This window comes from Homo sapiens, chromosome 6, assembly GCF_000001405.40.
Source record: "Homo sapiens chromosome 6, GRCh38.p14 Primary Assembly".
In the NCBI taxonomy this organism is placed as follows: domain Eukaryota; kingdom Metazoa; phylum Chordata; class Mammalia; order Primates; family Hominidae; genus Homo; species Homo sapiens.
Window position 1 is genome coordinate 166,990,312 of NC_000006.12, and position 14,579 is coordinate 167,004,890.

Consider the following 14,579-nt stretch of genomic DNA (forward strand, 5'->3'; position numbering starts at 1 on the left):
ACCAAATAGACTTGGGTGGTTCATCTCAGCTGCTAGCTGTGTGTCTGTGGGCATACTACCTAGCTTATTGGAACACTGTCTCATCTGTAAAATGGAGTTGTTTAAAAATAACTCAACATGCTCAGATCATGGAGAAAATGAAATTAGGTTGTATATTCAAAACAACTAATAATAGTTAATATTTTTATTATGTTATGATTGGGATTTTGAATACAATCTACTATCTAGCTATACATATTCACATCTACGGAGATTTTTATCCTAATTTACAAACAGAAAACTGAGGCAGAGAGACATTAGCTAACTTCCTGTGGTTAACATAACTAGTAAGTGGATTTGAACCCATGTAATGTGGCTGTAAAGTCCATGCTTTTAACCACTACACACAACCTGGTAAATCCTTGTTGAAATAAGAAAGCAATTTCAGTAAGTTGTACTGTACCAAAAGAAATGTGGAATTCATCTCTTTTCCCAACATGCTACTATCTTTTGAACATTTAAAAAAACTAATAGGCCATTGAGAACCTTATTTATTCACCACTACCTAAACTATCCTGATCTTTATGGGAACAGAATAGATGACTTCAATGAGAAGGCATTAATATTACTGAGTGCAGACTGAAAGACTATCTCGATGATTAACGACACATTTTCATTTTTTTTTTTTTTTTTTGAGATGGAGTCTCATTCTTGTTGCCCAGGCTGCAGTGCGGTGGCGTGATCTTGGCTCACTGCAACCTCCGTCTCCCAGGTTTCAAGTGATTCTCCTGCCTCAGCCTCCTGAGTAGTTGGGATTATAGGCACGCGCCACCACTCCCAGCTATTTTTTTGTATTTTTAGTAAAGATGGGGTTTCACCATGATGGTCAGGCTGGTCTGGAACTCCTGACATCGTGATCCACCCACCTCAGCCTCCCAAAGTGCTGGGATTACAGGCATGAGCCACCATGCCTGGCCTTCAATTTTTAACATTTAAGAAAAAGTGACATTCCAAGAATATGCAAGTGGAAAGCCAGAAAGCATTTCCCCTATCCTATCCTGAGTTTATTCTCATAAGAATCTAGTTGTTTAAAAACTAAGTTACTGGAACATATTTGTGATTAATTTTATGTGTCAACTTGACTGGGCCATAGAGTGCCCAGATACTTGCTGAAACATTATCCTGGGTGTGTGTATGAGGGTGTTTTGGGATGAGATTAACATTTAAATGGATAGCCTGAGTAAAGCAAATTGACCTCCCTAACATATGAGTGAGTCTCATCCAATCAGTTAGAAGCCTGAATAAAACAAAAAAACTGATCCTCCCTGAGTAAGAAAGAATCTCTCCTGCCTTCTGATCTTTTGACTGGGACATCAGCTTGTTTCTTGCCTTCAGACTCAGATTGAAACACTGACTCTTCCTGGATTTCAAGCCTGCTAGCCTCTGGTCAGGAACTATGCCATCAGTTCTCCTGGGTCTCCAGCTTGCTGGCTCATCCTGTAGACTTGCCAGCCTCAGTGATCTTGTGAGTCAGTTCCTTATATGAATCTCCTTATATATATACCCGTATACATACATATATCGTATTGGTTCTGTTTCTTTGGTAAACCCTAATACAATATTTATATTTCTTTGTTTTTTTTTTTAGACAGGGTCCCACTCTATCTCCCAGGTGGGAGTGCAGTGGCGAGATCATGGCTCACTGCAGCCTCAACCTCCCAGGCTCAAGTGATCCTCCCACCTCAGCCTCCTGAGTAACTGGGACTACAGGCCATGCCATCACGCTTGGCTAATTTTTGTATTTTGTGTAGAGAGGGGTTTTGCCATGTTACCCAGGCTGGTTTTGAACTCCTGAGTTCAAGCAATCTGCCCACCTCACCCTCCCGAAGTGTTGGGATTACAGGTGTGAGCCACCGCCCCGGCCAATATTTATATTTCTCAGACGCATCCTCTTTTTTCCATGTTCACTTGTGCAATTTTAGTTGATGTCCTTCTTCTTTCCTGGACTATTGGAATAATTTCCTTGTTCCAGTGTCAGTACATCCAATTCACCCATCCCCTCCTTGCTTCTGGAGTGCTCTTTCTAAATACAAATAGGCTAATGACATTTTGCTTTTAAACTTGTTTAGCACGCTATTTCACACCTTCAAGATGAAAGTCAAATTCATTAGATTGGTGGATAAAGTCCTTCCCAATCCAGTCATTTCTTCATCTCCAGCCACGCCACACTACCTGCCACTTCTTGCACAGAGCAATCTGCCTTAGCCTCTTGGTCTTGCACTCTTGTATGTTCGGGTACTTCTGCCTGGAATGCCTCTTTCTTATTCAATCAGGAAACTCTCATAACAGGTGTGTGTGTCTGACATTAAGTGTCACCTCCTTAGCATACATCTTGGATTTACCTCCCTGAAATCCAGGGGTGAAGGAGTCAGGGGTCTTTTTCTATTCATTGCCTTCAATTGAGCATACTTGCAGGGTGTGTTAATTCCTTGGCACTTTAGGTCTTCCCAAAATGCAGGCAGAGCAGGCTCTGGTGGACAAAGATAGCTGATAATGCAAATAACTTCAGGTGCCGGCAGTTGGAAGTTGGCCCAATGTGCAGAATGTTCTGTTCAGGGGCATGTGGGCTTGGCCTAACAGATCTGTTATAGCCCTAATATCATACTGTTGTTGGTTTTTCAATCAATGCACAAAGTTGGAAAGATATAGAGCTGACCCTGAACAACAGGGGTCTGAACCAGTGTGGGTCTACTTATATGCAAATTGTTTTCAATATATACAGTTGGCCCTCCATATCAGTGGGTTCCACAACTGAAACCAAGAATAGGTGGAAAATACAGTATTCTTGGGATGCGAATGGTCATATCCACAGGTTCCACAGGGCCAACTGTGGGATTTGAGTGTATGTGGATTTTGGTGTATACGAGAGGTCCTGGAACCAATCCCCCATGGATACCAAGGGATGTCTGTAATTTTATTTACAAAAAGAATGCAAATTCTTGACAGACTAAAAATGAGAATGAAACTAACAAAATTAGGAGGGGGAGGGGAAAAGACGAGAAAGTAAGAATGTACCAATTCCTCACCTCTCCTAGTAGGGAGCCAATATACAGTGTGTAAAATTTATAAATAATGATTTAGGTAAACAACCTAAAGTCATGAAAGCTTCTAGCAAAACTAAAAGTAATACAATTTTTTAAATTAGGAGTTAAGAATAAGTTTTTGTCCCTTTGAAGGATTTTCAGCTGGTGAGTCAAGATGTATATGTACAGTATTTAAGGTTATAATGAAAAGAACCAGAAGAACTAAAACCAGAAATTGTTAATTGCAGTTGGGTCTAGGATATGGTAACAGATAAGGTAGGTGGGTAGGTAGGTAGAGTAGCAGGGAGACCCTTACTTTTCTTTTAATATGTTCCCCCCTTTTGTTTGGATTTTTAACGATTATTATGCATTATTTCCATAACAAACAAATGTAAATAAAGTGTAGTTTAACTACAAAAAGTAACTTTTAGAACACCCTTAACAAATATTTTGTAGGAGTCAAATGAGGTAGGATCTATACGGTATGCATGAACATCAAAAAATGATCAGGACTTCTTAAGTCAAGTTAGTAAACTAAAAGATAATAGGCATAGGATCCAAATTACAGAGAGGGAGGAAGTATGTGTGTGTATGTAACATATCTATGTACAGTTGACCCTTAAGCAACATGAGGTTAGGGGCACAGACCCTCACAGTCAAAATTCCATCCCCCAAAACTGTAGTAACAGCCTACTGTTGATCGGAAGTCTTACCAACAACATAAACAATTAACACTTTTTTTTTTTTGAGATGGAGTCTTGCTCTGTCACCCAGGCAAGGAGTGCAGTGGTGCAATCTCGGCTCACTGCAACCTCCGCCTCCTGGGTTCAAGAGATTCTCCTGCCTCAGCCTCCCGAGTAGGTGCGATTACAGGCACGCACCATCATGTCTGGCTAATTTTTATCTTTTTAATAGAGACGGGGTTTCGCCATGTTGGCCAGGCTGGTCTCAAACCCCTGGTCTCAAGTGATCCGTCTGCCTCAGCCTCCCAAAGTGTTGGGATTACAGATGTGAGCCACCGCACTCGACAATTTTGTATGTTACATATGTTATATACTGTATTCTTATAATAAAGTAAGCTAAAGAAAACGTTTTAAGGAAATCATGAGGAGAAAATATATTTACTCTCCATTAAGTGTAAGTGAATCATCATAAATGTCTCCGTCCTCATAATTTTCACCTTGAATAGGCTGAGAAGCGGGGGTTGGCTTTGCTGTCTCAGGGGTGGCAGAAGTAGAAGAGGTGGAAGAGGAGGCAGGAGAGGGAGGCACAATAAGTGTAATCTGATGGAGATACATCATAATTTGTCTGACTTTTTTGCTTTTCCATTTCTCTAAACATGTTTCCATTTAGCACCAATTCTTCTTCCACCATTTGCTTTAGATTCAGTGCCTGTTTCATAGAAAAGTCCATGTTATAAGAGAAGTCAAAAGCCATATTGAATAAGTGGAACCCTTCTGCCAGATTGTCTAATGTCAATTTGTTTTCTGGCACTGCTTCGTCTTCTTCCTCATCGTCTGGCACTGGGTTCAGAAGGAGTCATCTCCATCAAGTGGTCTTCTGTTAATTCCTCTGGTGTGGTGTCTCTTAGCTCTTGAATTTCTCCAAGATTTGTATCTTGAAACCTTTTTTGCCATATCTGCAATCTCTTTCATGATTTCCTTGATTGGCTCTGTCATAAATCCTGTGAAGTGATGCACAACATCTGGAGTTCCTCCAGCAGGAATTTGTTTGGGCTTGATGGCTTTTCATGGTTTTTTCTGAAACAACAATGGCATCTTCAATGGTGTAATCCTTTCAGACGTTCATGATATTCTCTCAATTGGGGTTCTCTTCCACAGAGTACTGTGTGTAATGATCCTTAAAGTCCTTATGACTCCCTTATCTAGAGGTTGAATTAGAGGTGTTGTGTTTAGGCGCATGTAGACCATTTCAATGTGTTTGTATTGAACTCATGGGGTTCTGGGTGGCCAGGGGCATTGTCCAATATCAAAAGAACATTAAAGGCAATCCCTTACTGGCAAGGTACTTCCCGACTTTAAAAACAAAGCATTTATATAACTGATCCAGAAAAAGAGTTGCTGCTCAGCCATCTTGCTGTACAACCAAAAGAGTGGCAGGCAGTGTTTCTTTTCCCTTCAAGGCTCAATTTTATAGATAAGGGCAGTCCTGATCATACATCTGGCTGCATTTGCACAAAACAGTACAGTTAGCCCATCCCTTCCCGCCTTGGATCCTGATGTTCACTTCTCTTCCTAATAAATATCCTCTGTGGCACTATTTTCCCCCAGAATAGGGCATTTTCGTTTGCCTTAAAAACCTGTTCAGGCAGATATCTTTTCTCCTCAGTGATTTTCTCTATTTTTTTTTATTTTTATTTTTTATTTATTTTTTTTTGAGAGAGTCTCATTCTGTCTCCCAGGCTGGAGTGCAGTGGTGCAATCTCACTGTAACCTCTGCCTCCTGGGTTCAAGCGATTCTCATGCCTTAGCCTCCTCAGTAGCTGGGATTATAGATGTGCACCACCACACCTGGCTAAATTTTGTATTTTTAGAAGAGACAGGGTTTTGCCATGTTGGCCAGGCTGGTCTCGAACTCCTGGCTTCAAGCAATCCACCCACCTCAGCCTTCCAAAGTGCTGGGATTACAGGCATGAGCCACAAAGCCTGGCCTTTTGTCCTCAATAATTTCCTTAATGGTATCTGGGAACTCGTCGGCTGCATCTGGGTCAGCAGAAGCTGCTTCTCCTGTTATCTTGACATTTTTTGAAAGCCAACCCACTTTTTAAAATTATCATACCTTCCTTCATCTTCCTTTTGCTTTGTCAGATAATGACTTCACTTTTTCTTGAATATTAGATTATATAGGTATGCCTTTCTCATAGCAATCCTGCACCCACAAAAAGCTGCATTTGCAATATGAGATAAAAAGGTATTTCCCAAAAAGTGCAAGGTTTTCATGCTTGTTGGTGTAGCTGCAGCGATGGCTTCATAAACTTCCTTTTGTTTTTATACCACAGTCCTTATACTGGATTCATTTATCTTAAAATGGCAGGCGACCTTAGCTGCAGACCTCAATCTACAATACACAGCAAGCAATTCCGCTTTTTCTGTAATGTCATTAACTTTTCTCTGATTCTTGGGAGCATTTCCAGCACCACTAGCGGCACTTCGTAATGGTCCCATGGTGTTACGCAAGGTTTACAGTACTGCAGTGAACACAACGAGAAATATGTGAGAACCTCAAGAGCTTACCTTTTACTGTGATATGCAATGTACTGGAGAGATCAACTGCTCACTCAGAGATGATTATGTTACTTGGAATTTTTAGCCAATACCAGCAACACTGACGCTCACTGCAATAGCAACAGGAGGTGGCTACAAAATCATTACAGTAGTACTCTATGTACTACAGTGAATTTGATGCAGTTATTATTTAATATTGCATCTTTACAACTGTTTACACCTCTCTTGAACCTAATGGGTGCCATGTAACTGTCTGTTTGTACGTGTAAGTTTTGATAAATTTTAACTTTTTATAACAGGCTTGTATATATTTTATGATAGTAAATAATAAAATGGCCTAGTATCTACATATATTTTATGCATTCATGACATATCTAGCTTTTTCTTTTCTTTTTTTTTCCATATTTCTTGGCTAAGCGACTCATCTGTGAGGTTTTTCACAAAATTGTTGCCATCGCCAAAAATATTCCATTTACTGAAAAAAATCCACATATAAGTGTACTCACGCAGTTCAAACTAATGTTGTTCAAGAGTCAACTGTATAAAAGGTATTAATATGTCTGGAAAGAGATATGTTTCCAATTTAACAGACACTACCAATGAGAAGAGTTGGGCTAGGCAGGAAACTTCAAATTTTCCTTTTTTACTTTATATATTCTATTTGTATCTCAACTTATAACCTGTGGACCACGTTTATTAGAAGAAAATGCAGATTCCTGAAACTTCCTGCAGACCCCATGAGTGACAATCTCAGGGAGATGGAGTTCCAGAATCTGCTTTTTTTCATAGATGTTTCTTTGCCATTCCTGTGTATATCTGAGTTTCAGTAGCACTGCTAATCAATTGTTTGGGGTTCTCTCTCCTTCACCAGCATGTTCTTGCAAAACTAACCAAACACATATAAAGCGCAAACAGTACAATAGTGCACTGCACCTTCATGACCCTTACCTGTTCCAGCCTCTTCCTACCTCTTCCACATGTGATATGTGTGTACATACCCACAGACAGAAACACAGAGACATGTTTGGAAGCCAGTGTGGATGCCCTGTGATCTGTGTGTACACATGACAAGTGCATACACACGCACATAAAGGAACCCAGAGACGTGTTTGGAAGCCAGTGTGGACACCCTGTGATCTGTGCGTACACATTTGACACCTGCGTACACACTCACAGACAGAAACACAGAGATGTGTTTGGAAGCCAGTGTGGACATCCTGTGGTCTGCGCGTACACATGTGACAGGTACGTGCACGCCCACATACAGGAACACACAGAGGCCTTTGGAAGCCAGCATGGGCAGACAGGCCCTATCCCAAAGCGGCCGGCAGGCGTCTCCTAAGAATGGTTCTCGGACACACCTCTGAAAGGAAAATACAACTCGGCACCGCAGTTGACTCGGCCAAAGGAAAAAAACTTAAGCTGAAAGCTGAGGCCTGCCCGAAGGAGCCTTTCCTGTGGCGCCTGAGCCGAGGGCTTCAGGGAGAGGGCCGCGCATCGCAGCGCAGCCGCCCGTCTTCCCGTGGCTTCCCTACGGCCGCGGCTCCCGCTGCTCCTTTCCGCCGGCCACGCGGGTCGCACGACCTTCCCCTCCCGCCCACCCTGAGGCGCTGAAGCCCTCGACGCCGGCCTCGGGAAAGGCGCGGCCACCGCCCGTTTCGGATTCCCGTTTCCTTCCTCCGGGCGCGTCCTTCACCGTGGCCAAATCAGCCTCTCAACTGCTGGAGCCCGGCCTCGGACACTTCTCGGCTTACGCCGCCATACAGTGGCGCACCCCGAAACCCCGGAACCGACAGCTCGGCTGGCCTTGCGCACCCACACTCTCCAAGGCAGGGCTCGGTCCGGGGGCTGGTTTTGCCAAGGCGAGGGGCGAGGGGCAGCCCAGGCGGCCGGATGGATACCAAGAGGGCGCGTCAGCTCCGGCGGGACGGGGCTTCCAGGGCCCGGGAGGGGTCCAGGACTCCCCGCCGGCGCCTGGCTGTCGGCGGAGGGCCGCGGGGCAGGAGGGAGTGGAGACTGCGGCCCCAGTTCGGGCAGCGCGGAGCCCACCCAACGCCCTCCTCGGCCCTCGGCTCTTCCTGGGGCCATCCCGCCCCTGCACCTCGGCCTGGCACCTTTCCGGTTAGCCTCGGAGGCCGTGGCCGAGCAGGGTGCGTTCGCCTGGCTGGGGGGCCTCAGAACGTTATTTCCGGGTGACAACCTGCAGGGCCTTCCGCCCCTCGCGACCTCTCGGGAGTCCCTTCCCCGGCGCCCCCCCGGGGCTGCAGGGGCTGCAGGTTCGGTCTCGGGGCCTCCTTACCGCAGTCCGCCCGGCTTTAGGCTAGTGGGCTTTAACTACGTCGATAATATGACTCCGGCGATCTTGTGCGGCGATGGGATGCGGCCGTGGGCGGTGGAGTCCAGGCGGAGTCCGCTCTCCACACGCGAGGGCGCCTCCTCCTCACCGCTCGCCGGCTTCAAAGCTCGCGCCTCAGGCGACGGCAGCCAACGGGTTGCCGGCTGGAGGCCCCGCCGACGCCCCGCCCCTTGCGTGCCCACCCGCGCCCCGCAGCCCCGCCCCCAGCGCCGACCCTAAGTTTCGGCGCTCAGTGGTCCGGCGCTCCCCAAGGCTCGGTGTCCAGCGTCAACCCCGAGGTCTCTATGCCCCGCCTCCCGACGCCAGGGGGCAGGGCCAGCGCGCTGCGCGTCGGGGCGGGGCTTTGGCTGCGTCGGCCGCGTAGCCCGCGCGCGGAGCGTACCCTGCTGCGGCCGTTGGCCGTTAGCGCGGCTTCGGCGGTTGTCTTGGAGAAGCAAGATGGCGGCGACGGCGGCCGCAGTGGTGGCCGAGGAGGACACGGAGCTGCGGGACCTGCTGGTGCAGACGCTGGAGAACAGCGGGGTCCTGAACCGCATCAAGGTGAGGCCGGAGGCTGGGGCCGGGCCTGGCGGATCCGCAGGGCTTGCGTGGACAGCGGGCGTCACAACGGTCGCGGCGAGGAGGCCGCCTCCCTGGCGAGGGACCGGGGCCGGCGGGCACTGGGGGCGCGCCCCGGCATGGCCTCCGTCCTGCCCGCCCCACAGAGGGGGTCGGCTCGTTCGTTCGTGTGGTCCCGGAGGGCACCGCGGACTGGGGGTGCCTGGCCCATCCCCTGCCTCATTCCGTGGGGGCGGGACCGCGGGGCTTGGGGGCCACACGGGCGGCCCGCAGCTGGGCCCTGGAGTGCGGCCCCAGCGTCTCTTCCTCAGGCTCGGGCATGATCCGCGGCGGGAAAGCAGCGCGTCCAGCCGAAGCCTGGGGGTCGGAGAGCTTGTGTGACTGAGAACGTTTCGGAAGGCGTTTCTGACCTTTGCACCTGCCCTCCCAGCTCGTTGGCTTGCTCGTGTTTGTTGCTGGATAAATGTGAGCTTGTTGTGAAAATTGTCTTGAAATTATAATTTCCTGTTTCTTAACTTTTTTTTAAGGCTGAACTCCGAGCAGCTGTGTTTTTAGCACTAGAGGAGCAAGAAAAAGTAGAGGTATGAAGTTTCCAGATTTTAACATGGCTGTATTCGTTAATACTTAATTTCTTATTCATTAAAAACCGTCTTAAAAATAGTTTATAGTAACATATAGCTAGGGATAATTTTGAACTGTTAAGGATTACATTACTATTGAGAGAGAGCCAAAATTATTCTTTTTTCGTGTAGCTTTTGAATTTGGGGGTAATCTTAAGGTACCACAGTAACTCTGATACTAATGCTTAATCTGAAACAAATGGTCATAGGAGTTTCTTGAAGAAATGGTGCCATTGTCAATGTGTTAAGTGCAGGTTCACTCAGATCCTTTAGTAAGCTAATATGTTATTAATCCCTATGAAACGGGGTATATAGTATGCAACTTTTCCCAAAATTATCTGACCACTCAATTATTTTGACAATGAAAAAGACAGCGATTATTTTAAAAGTGCAGCCACTACTCTATATTTAAGTGGGTAATTTAACTTTTTCGGAGTCCCACCAACCATCCTGAGTAAATATTCTGGAATTTGTCAACAAGAATAGAACCATCATCAAAGCCTTAAACTCTTGCTGTATGACAAATCAGTCTACTGTCCTCTCACTTCTTTAGACCTGTATACCTAATCTCTAATTTCATCAAAATCTTCAGTTCTTTGCCCTTTCCATGTCTGTGCAGGCATCAGTCTTCTCTTGGCAGCATTTTGCTCTGGACCCTATGGGTCTGGACCCCTAATTACCTTGCCTTAACGGTCATACGTGGTCTGGAAGAAATCTCAGTGGTCATTTAACCCAGCAAACTAACTCTTCCCACTTTGCACATATGTGCTCTTGGAGAAGAGTCAGTCAATCCTGTGGATTGCTGATGTTGCAAATTGGCAGGTACCAACCTGGTTAGGTCCTGAGCAGGCCCAGCAGCTCTCTTCTTCACCCTAGCTGTGCAGTAGCCTTCTATGTCACCCCTGCTTCCTTCTCTCTGAACACATGGTCTTGTTGCTTCCTCCACAGGGAAGGTAGAAGCCATTAGATCCTAACTTTATGTCCTCCTCTCCTGTCCCTCAATCTATTGCTCACCTGTGAAAATGCTTACCTGTGTCTATGTTTATCTGTACCTCTTTCCTTACTGCTTTAGAAGAAGAGGCTCTGTCCTGTCCAAGAATAATCACTCTGTCTTGTGTATACTTTCAAGTCTTTAATTATTTACTGTATCTTTGACCCCTTCCTTTTCTGATGGCTTTTCTTTTGAGCTTGAAAACATGTTTAAATAACTATTAGGAGTAAACTGTTTTCCTTTACTCACATTCTGCTTTTAATACCGCTGTGGTTTTTTTCCTTCACAACCTGGTTTTGACCACTCCTTGGTTTCTTTAGCATGATCTTTTTCCTGTACACCTGACTGAGACTTATCCACAGTTGTCATTCTGTACTGTCTCACAGACTGACCTTATTCATCCAGTAACTCCAGCCCTGTAACTTTCATGCATGTTTCTTTCCCGAGCTTCAGACCTGTATGTTAAACTGCCCACTGTATTATGCCCTTAATGGGACCATCATTTATCTGGCAAGAAATCTAAGCGTTTCTTAGGCCTTGCTCTTCTTTCCACCTGCTCAGCCATCACCTGGCTCTGTGTCTGTCAGGTGTGTATCTGAAGTGTCCCCAAGGGAGTGCTCTGCTGCCTCCTTTGTGCTTGTTTCTTCTTTTCCAGATTGCCTTATCCCCTTCCTACTTGCCAGTCTCCGTTTCCGTGGTGTCCCTCACCATCTCCCTGAAGTCCTTTTTCCACATTGCTCCTAGATTGGCTGTTTATAGTACACATCTGATCTGTCCCTCCATTCTCTTAAAATATTTCAGTTGACTCCCTATCTTAGAATTCCCTGAACCAGCCTACCAACTACCTTGAGGATCTCTCCTCTCCTTGTCTTTTATTTTAACAACTTTATTGAGGTAAAATTGACCTATAGTAAAGCTAAAGTATTTAATATGTACAATTTGATTTTTAATAGTTAATTTATGCAGCTGTGAAATGATCATCACAATCAAGGTACTGCGCATATCCTTCAAACTTTTGACCTTCAAAAGTTTTCCTTGTGCCCCTTATGTAACCCTCTCCCCCACCCCAAACCTTTTTAAGAATTATATAAATGGAATCGTATAGTAGGTACTCTTTTTTTTTGGTCTGTTTCTTCAACATAATGCATTTGAAATTCATTCATGTTGTGGTATGTATTAATAAATCATTTCATTAATACATTGTACAGATATGACAGTTTAGCCATTACCTGCTGACAGACATTTAGGCTGTTTCCAGTTTTTGAGTATTACAAATAAGGTTTCTGTGAACAGTCACATACAAGTCTTTGCTTGGATCTGTGATTTCTCTTGAGAAAATATGTAGAGGTGAAGTGACTAGGTCACATGCTAGGAATATTTGTGACTTTTAAGAAACACTACCAAATTGCTGTCCAAACTCGTTATGCCATTTTGCATTCCCATCAGCAGTGTATGAGGCTGCCACTGTAGCAGCAATTAATGTGGTCTTAAGGAAGCTTACCATGTGCTACCTACTGTAGCCTCTTCTCAGCAACAATCACAGGCTTGATGGTCTAGAAGTATTTTTTCCATACTTATTCAAATAAATGTATAATTACAAAAATAAGTTGGCCTATGGGCCGCATAAGATCATCTCACATTTCATGGATAAACTGGGAATTACAAGTGTATAATTAAATTCCTGTTCATAGTAAGTATGCTATAAATGGTAGATACCTGAGATGACAAAACTTTTATCAAACTTCATGTATTTGAAATAATAAACAGTTGTTGACATTTAATTGTATTTCACACAGGTATTTGAAAATATCTAGCTTCAAAAGCAGTTTATAAAACATTTAAAAATTAAAAATACAAATCTTCATATATGGTTTTGTTATATTAACTTTGAGAAATTACTAAATAGCACAAAGTAAGTCCTGTAGTAATTAACAGTTGTAGAATGGATTTTGTAAAACCATAATTTTATCAATGAAAACGTTAAACTTTATATTTTGTAGTTGTTTTTAGGGTAAACACATGACACTTAAATTTTTTTTTTTTTAACAGAACAAAACTCCTTTAGTTAATGAGAGCCTGAAAAAGTTTTTAAATACCAAAGACGGTAAGATGTTCAGTTTGTTCTTGTTTATCTATCTCTGAATTTTTGAATCTTGATACCATTTGGGAGAAATCAGGAATTTCAGGGCTTTTTTTTTGTCTTCAATTGTTATAGGTCCTCATTTTAAAATAATATTTTATTGTACAACAATCGTGTTGCTATTACATATTTTTGGATTTGGGATGTTGTTGCTTAAAGCCAGTTTTACTACAAAAAGCCAATATTAACCATTAAAAAGCGAAACACTGAAATCTATGAGATGATTGTCTTACAGTTAGTTACAGACTGATGATCCCAGTGAAAAAATCAGGAGATTGAGATTTTCATTACTTAATCATATTATTCAAAGAGGAAATTTGTAACTTAAAAAATTTAGAAACCTTTCTTCCATTAATTTAGTGTATCTATTTCATAATGTTAATTTAAAAAATTCAGTTTTTGAAGATTTGCTTACTTACCTTTTTCTTGATCTTTATAGGTCGTTTAGTGGCTAGTCTTGTTGCAGAATTTCTTCAGTTTTTTAACCTTGACTTTACTTTGGCTGTTTTTCAACCTGAAACTAGCACAGTAAGAATAATGATTTTTACATCTATCTTTTGAAACCTTTGATACAAATGAGTTAATATTAAGCTGAAAGTTAATAGAATTTGACAACTGATAGTTTTTTACATTTAGATTATTTTTGGTAGTTGATTATCTGTTTTTCTTAAAAGCCATATGAGCTTTCAGATAGCTGGCACCAGTGTTGCTGCTTTGTGTTACTTGAAAGCTTGCTAATAAAAGTGTTACTATAGAGTTAATTTTGATACGATGTTAGAGTGCACCTGTTAATGGAAACGTTGAAGGTAGAGGCTCTGTAAAAGAAATAGGCATAATTTTTTAAAATAGACATTTCATTCATTAGTAAGACAGTCTCTTTGAGTTTAAAGATGTCTTTAAACTCTGAAAATATCTTCTTTACTCCTTGAGAATAACTTCTGCTATTTTTTTGTGCACTTGTATTTTAACTTCTTTTCTAGCTGCAAGGTCTCGAAGGTCGAGAGAATTTAGCCCGAGATTTAGGTATAATTGAAGCAGAAGGTACTGTGGGTGGACCCTTATTATTAGAAGTGATCAGGCGCTGTCAACAGAAAGAAAAAGGGCCAACCACTGGGGAAGTAAGTAGAATTCTGTGTTATCTTTTTCTATTTTAATTATTGGCTGCTTAGTTTAGCCATGCAGATTAGTGCATATATAGTAAATTAAGGTTTTCATACTAGAAGATATTCCTTAAAAACAAAATGAGATGCATTCAGATTGTATCAATGCAAATTTTAATGAAAATTAGGAATGTGCTGACTGTGATTCTGTGGCATATCTGTTCTGGTTTTTGATCCTCAAGAGTGTTGGGTCATGAGCTAAACTGTCTGGAACAAATCCCAACTCCTCGTTGCCTCACTTGATCCTCCATTCATTCCATACTGTGTATGAAGTGGGCTCTACCAGGCCCTACCTTGGTGTTCTGAGGCTTCTCTGCATAAGCCAACAGAAGCACTCAACTTGCTATTATTTTTATTAAAACATCTTATTTAAATATAAAAGGGCTGATTTATAGGATAGTTAATAAATTTTTGGACTTAAAGGCCTCTTTAGGCTTAAAACTAAGC

General features: G+C 43.1%; 1 protein-coding gene and 1 non-coding gene across 4 annotated transcripts in view, besides 5 other annotated features; one reads left to right on the forward strand and one right to left on the reverse strand.

Moving 5' to 3' along the window:
• On the reverse strand, positions 7,496-7,601 carry MIR3939 (microRNA 3939). The gene has a single exon (NR_037504.1). It is a non-coding gene; the product is annotated as a microRNA 3939 (primary transcript).
• Positions 7,568-7,617: an enhancer, noted in NCBI's record as "active region_25444". NCBI's record gives its function as "activates an Ori minimal core promoter by ATAC-STARR-seq in GM12878 lymphoblastoid cells {active_cell/tissue: GM12878}" and the evidence as "EXISTENCE:reporter gene assay evidence [ECO:0000049][PMID:35858748]".
• Positions 8,158-8,387: a silencer, noted in NCBI's record as "silent region_17787". NCBI's record gives its function as "represses an Ori minimal core promoter by ATAC-STARR-seq in GM12878 lymphoblastoid cells {active_cell/tissue: GM12878}" and the evidence as "EXISTENCE:reporter gene assay evidence [ECO:0000049][PMID:35858748]".
• Positions 8,678-9,197: a silencer, noted in NCBI's record as "silent region_17788". NCBI's record gives its function as "represses an Ori minimal core promoter by ATAC-STARR-seq in GM12878 lymphoblastoid cells {active_cell/tissue: GM12878}" and the evidence as "EXISTENCE:reporter gene assay evidence [ECO:0000049][PMID:35858748]".
• Positions 9,086-14,579, forward strand: part of CEP43 (centrosomal protein 43) — a 53,322-nt gene continuing 47,828 nt past the window's right edge. For all 3 annotated transcript variants that reach the window (NM_007045.4, NM_194429.3, NM_001278690.2), the window contains exons 1-5: positions 9,086-9,203; positions 9,749-9,802; positions 12,882-12,936; positions 13,412-13,500; positions 13,953-14,090. In NM_007045.4, coding sequence (NP_008976.1) covers positions 9,102-9,203; positions 9,749-9,802; positions 12,882-12,936; positions 13,412-13,500; positions 13,953-14,090 — 438 coding nt within the window. In that variant the 5' untranslated portion in view covers positions 9,086-9,101. The remainder of the gene's footprint in view (positions 9,204-9,748; positions 9,803-12,881; positions 12,937-13,411; positions 13,501-13,952; positions 14,091-14,579) is intronic.
• Positions 9,288-9,447: a silencer, noted in NCBI's record as "silent region_17789". NCBI's record gives its function as "represses an Ori minimal core promoter by ATAC-STARR-seq in GM12878 lymphoblastoid cells {active_cell/tissue: GM12878}" and the evidence as "EXISTENCE:reporter gene assay evidence [ECO:0000049][PMID:35858748]".
• Positions 9,458-9,547: a silencer, noted in NCBI's record as "silent region_17790". NCBI's record gives its function as "represses an Ori minimal core promoter by ATAC-STARR-seq in GM12878 lymphoblastoid cells {active_cell/tissue: GM12878}" and the evidence as "EXISTENCE:reporter gene assay evidence [ECO:0000049][PMID:35858748]".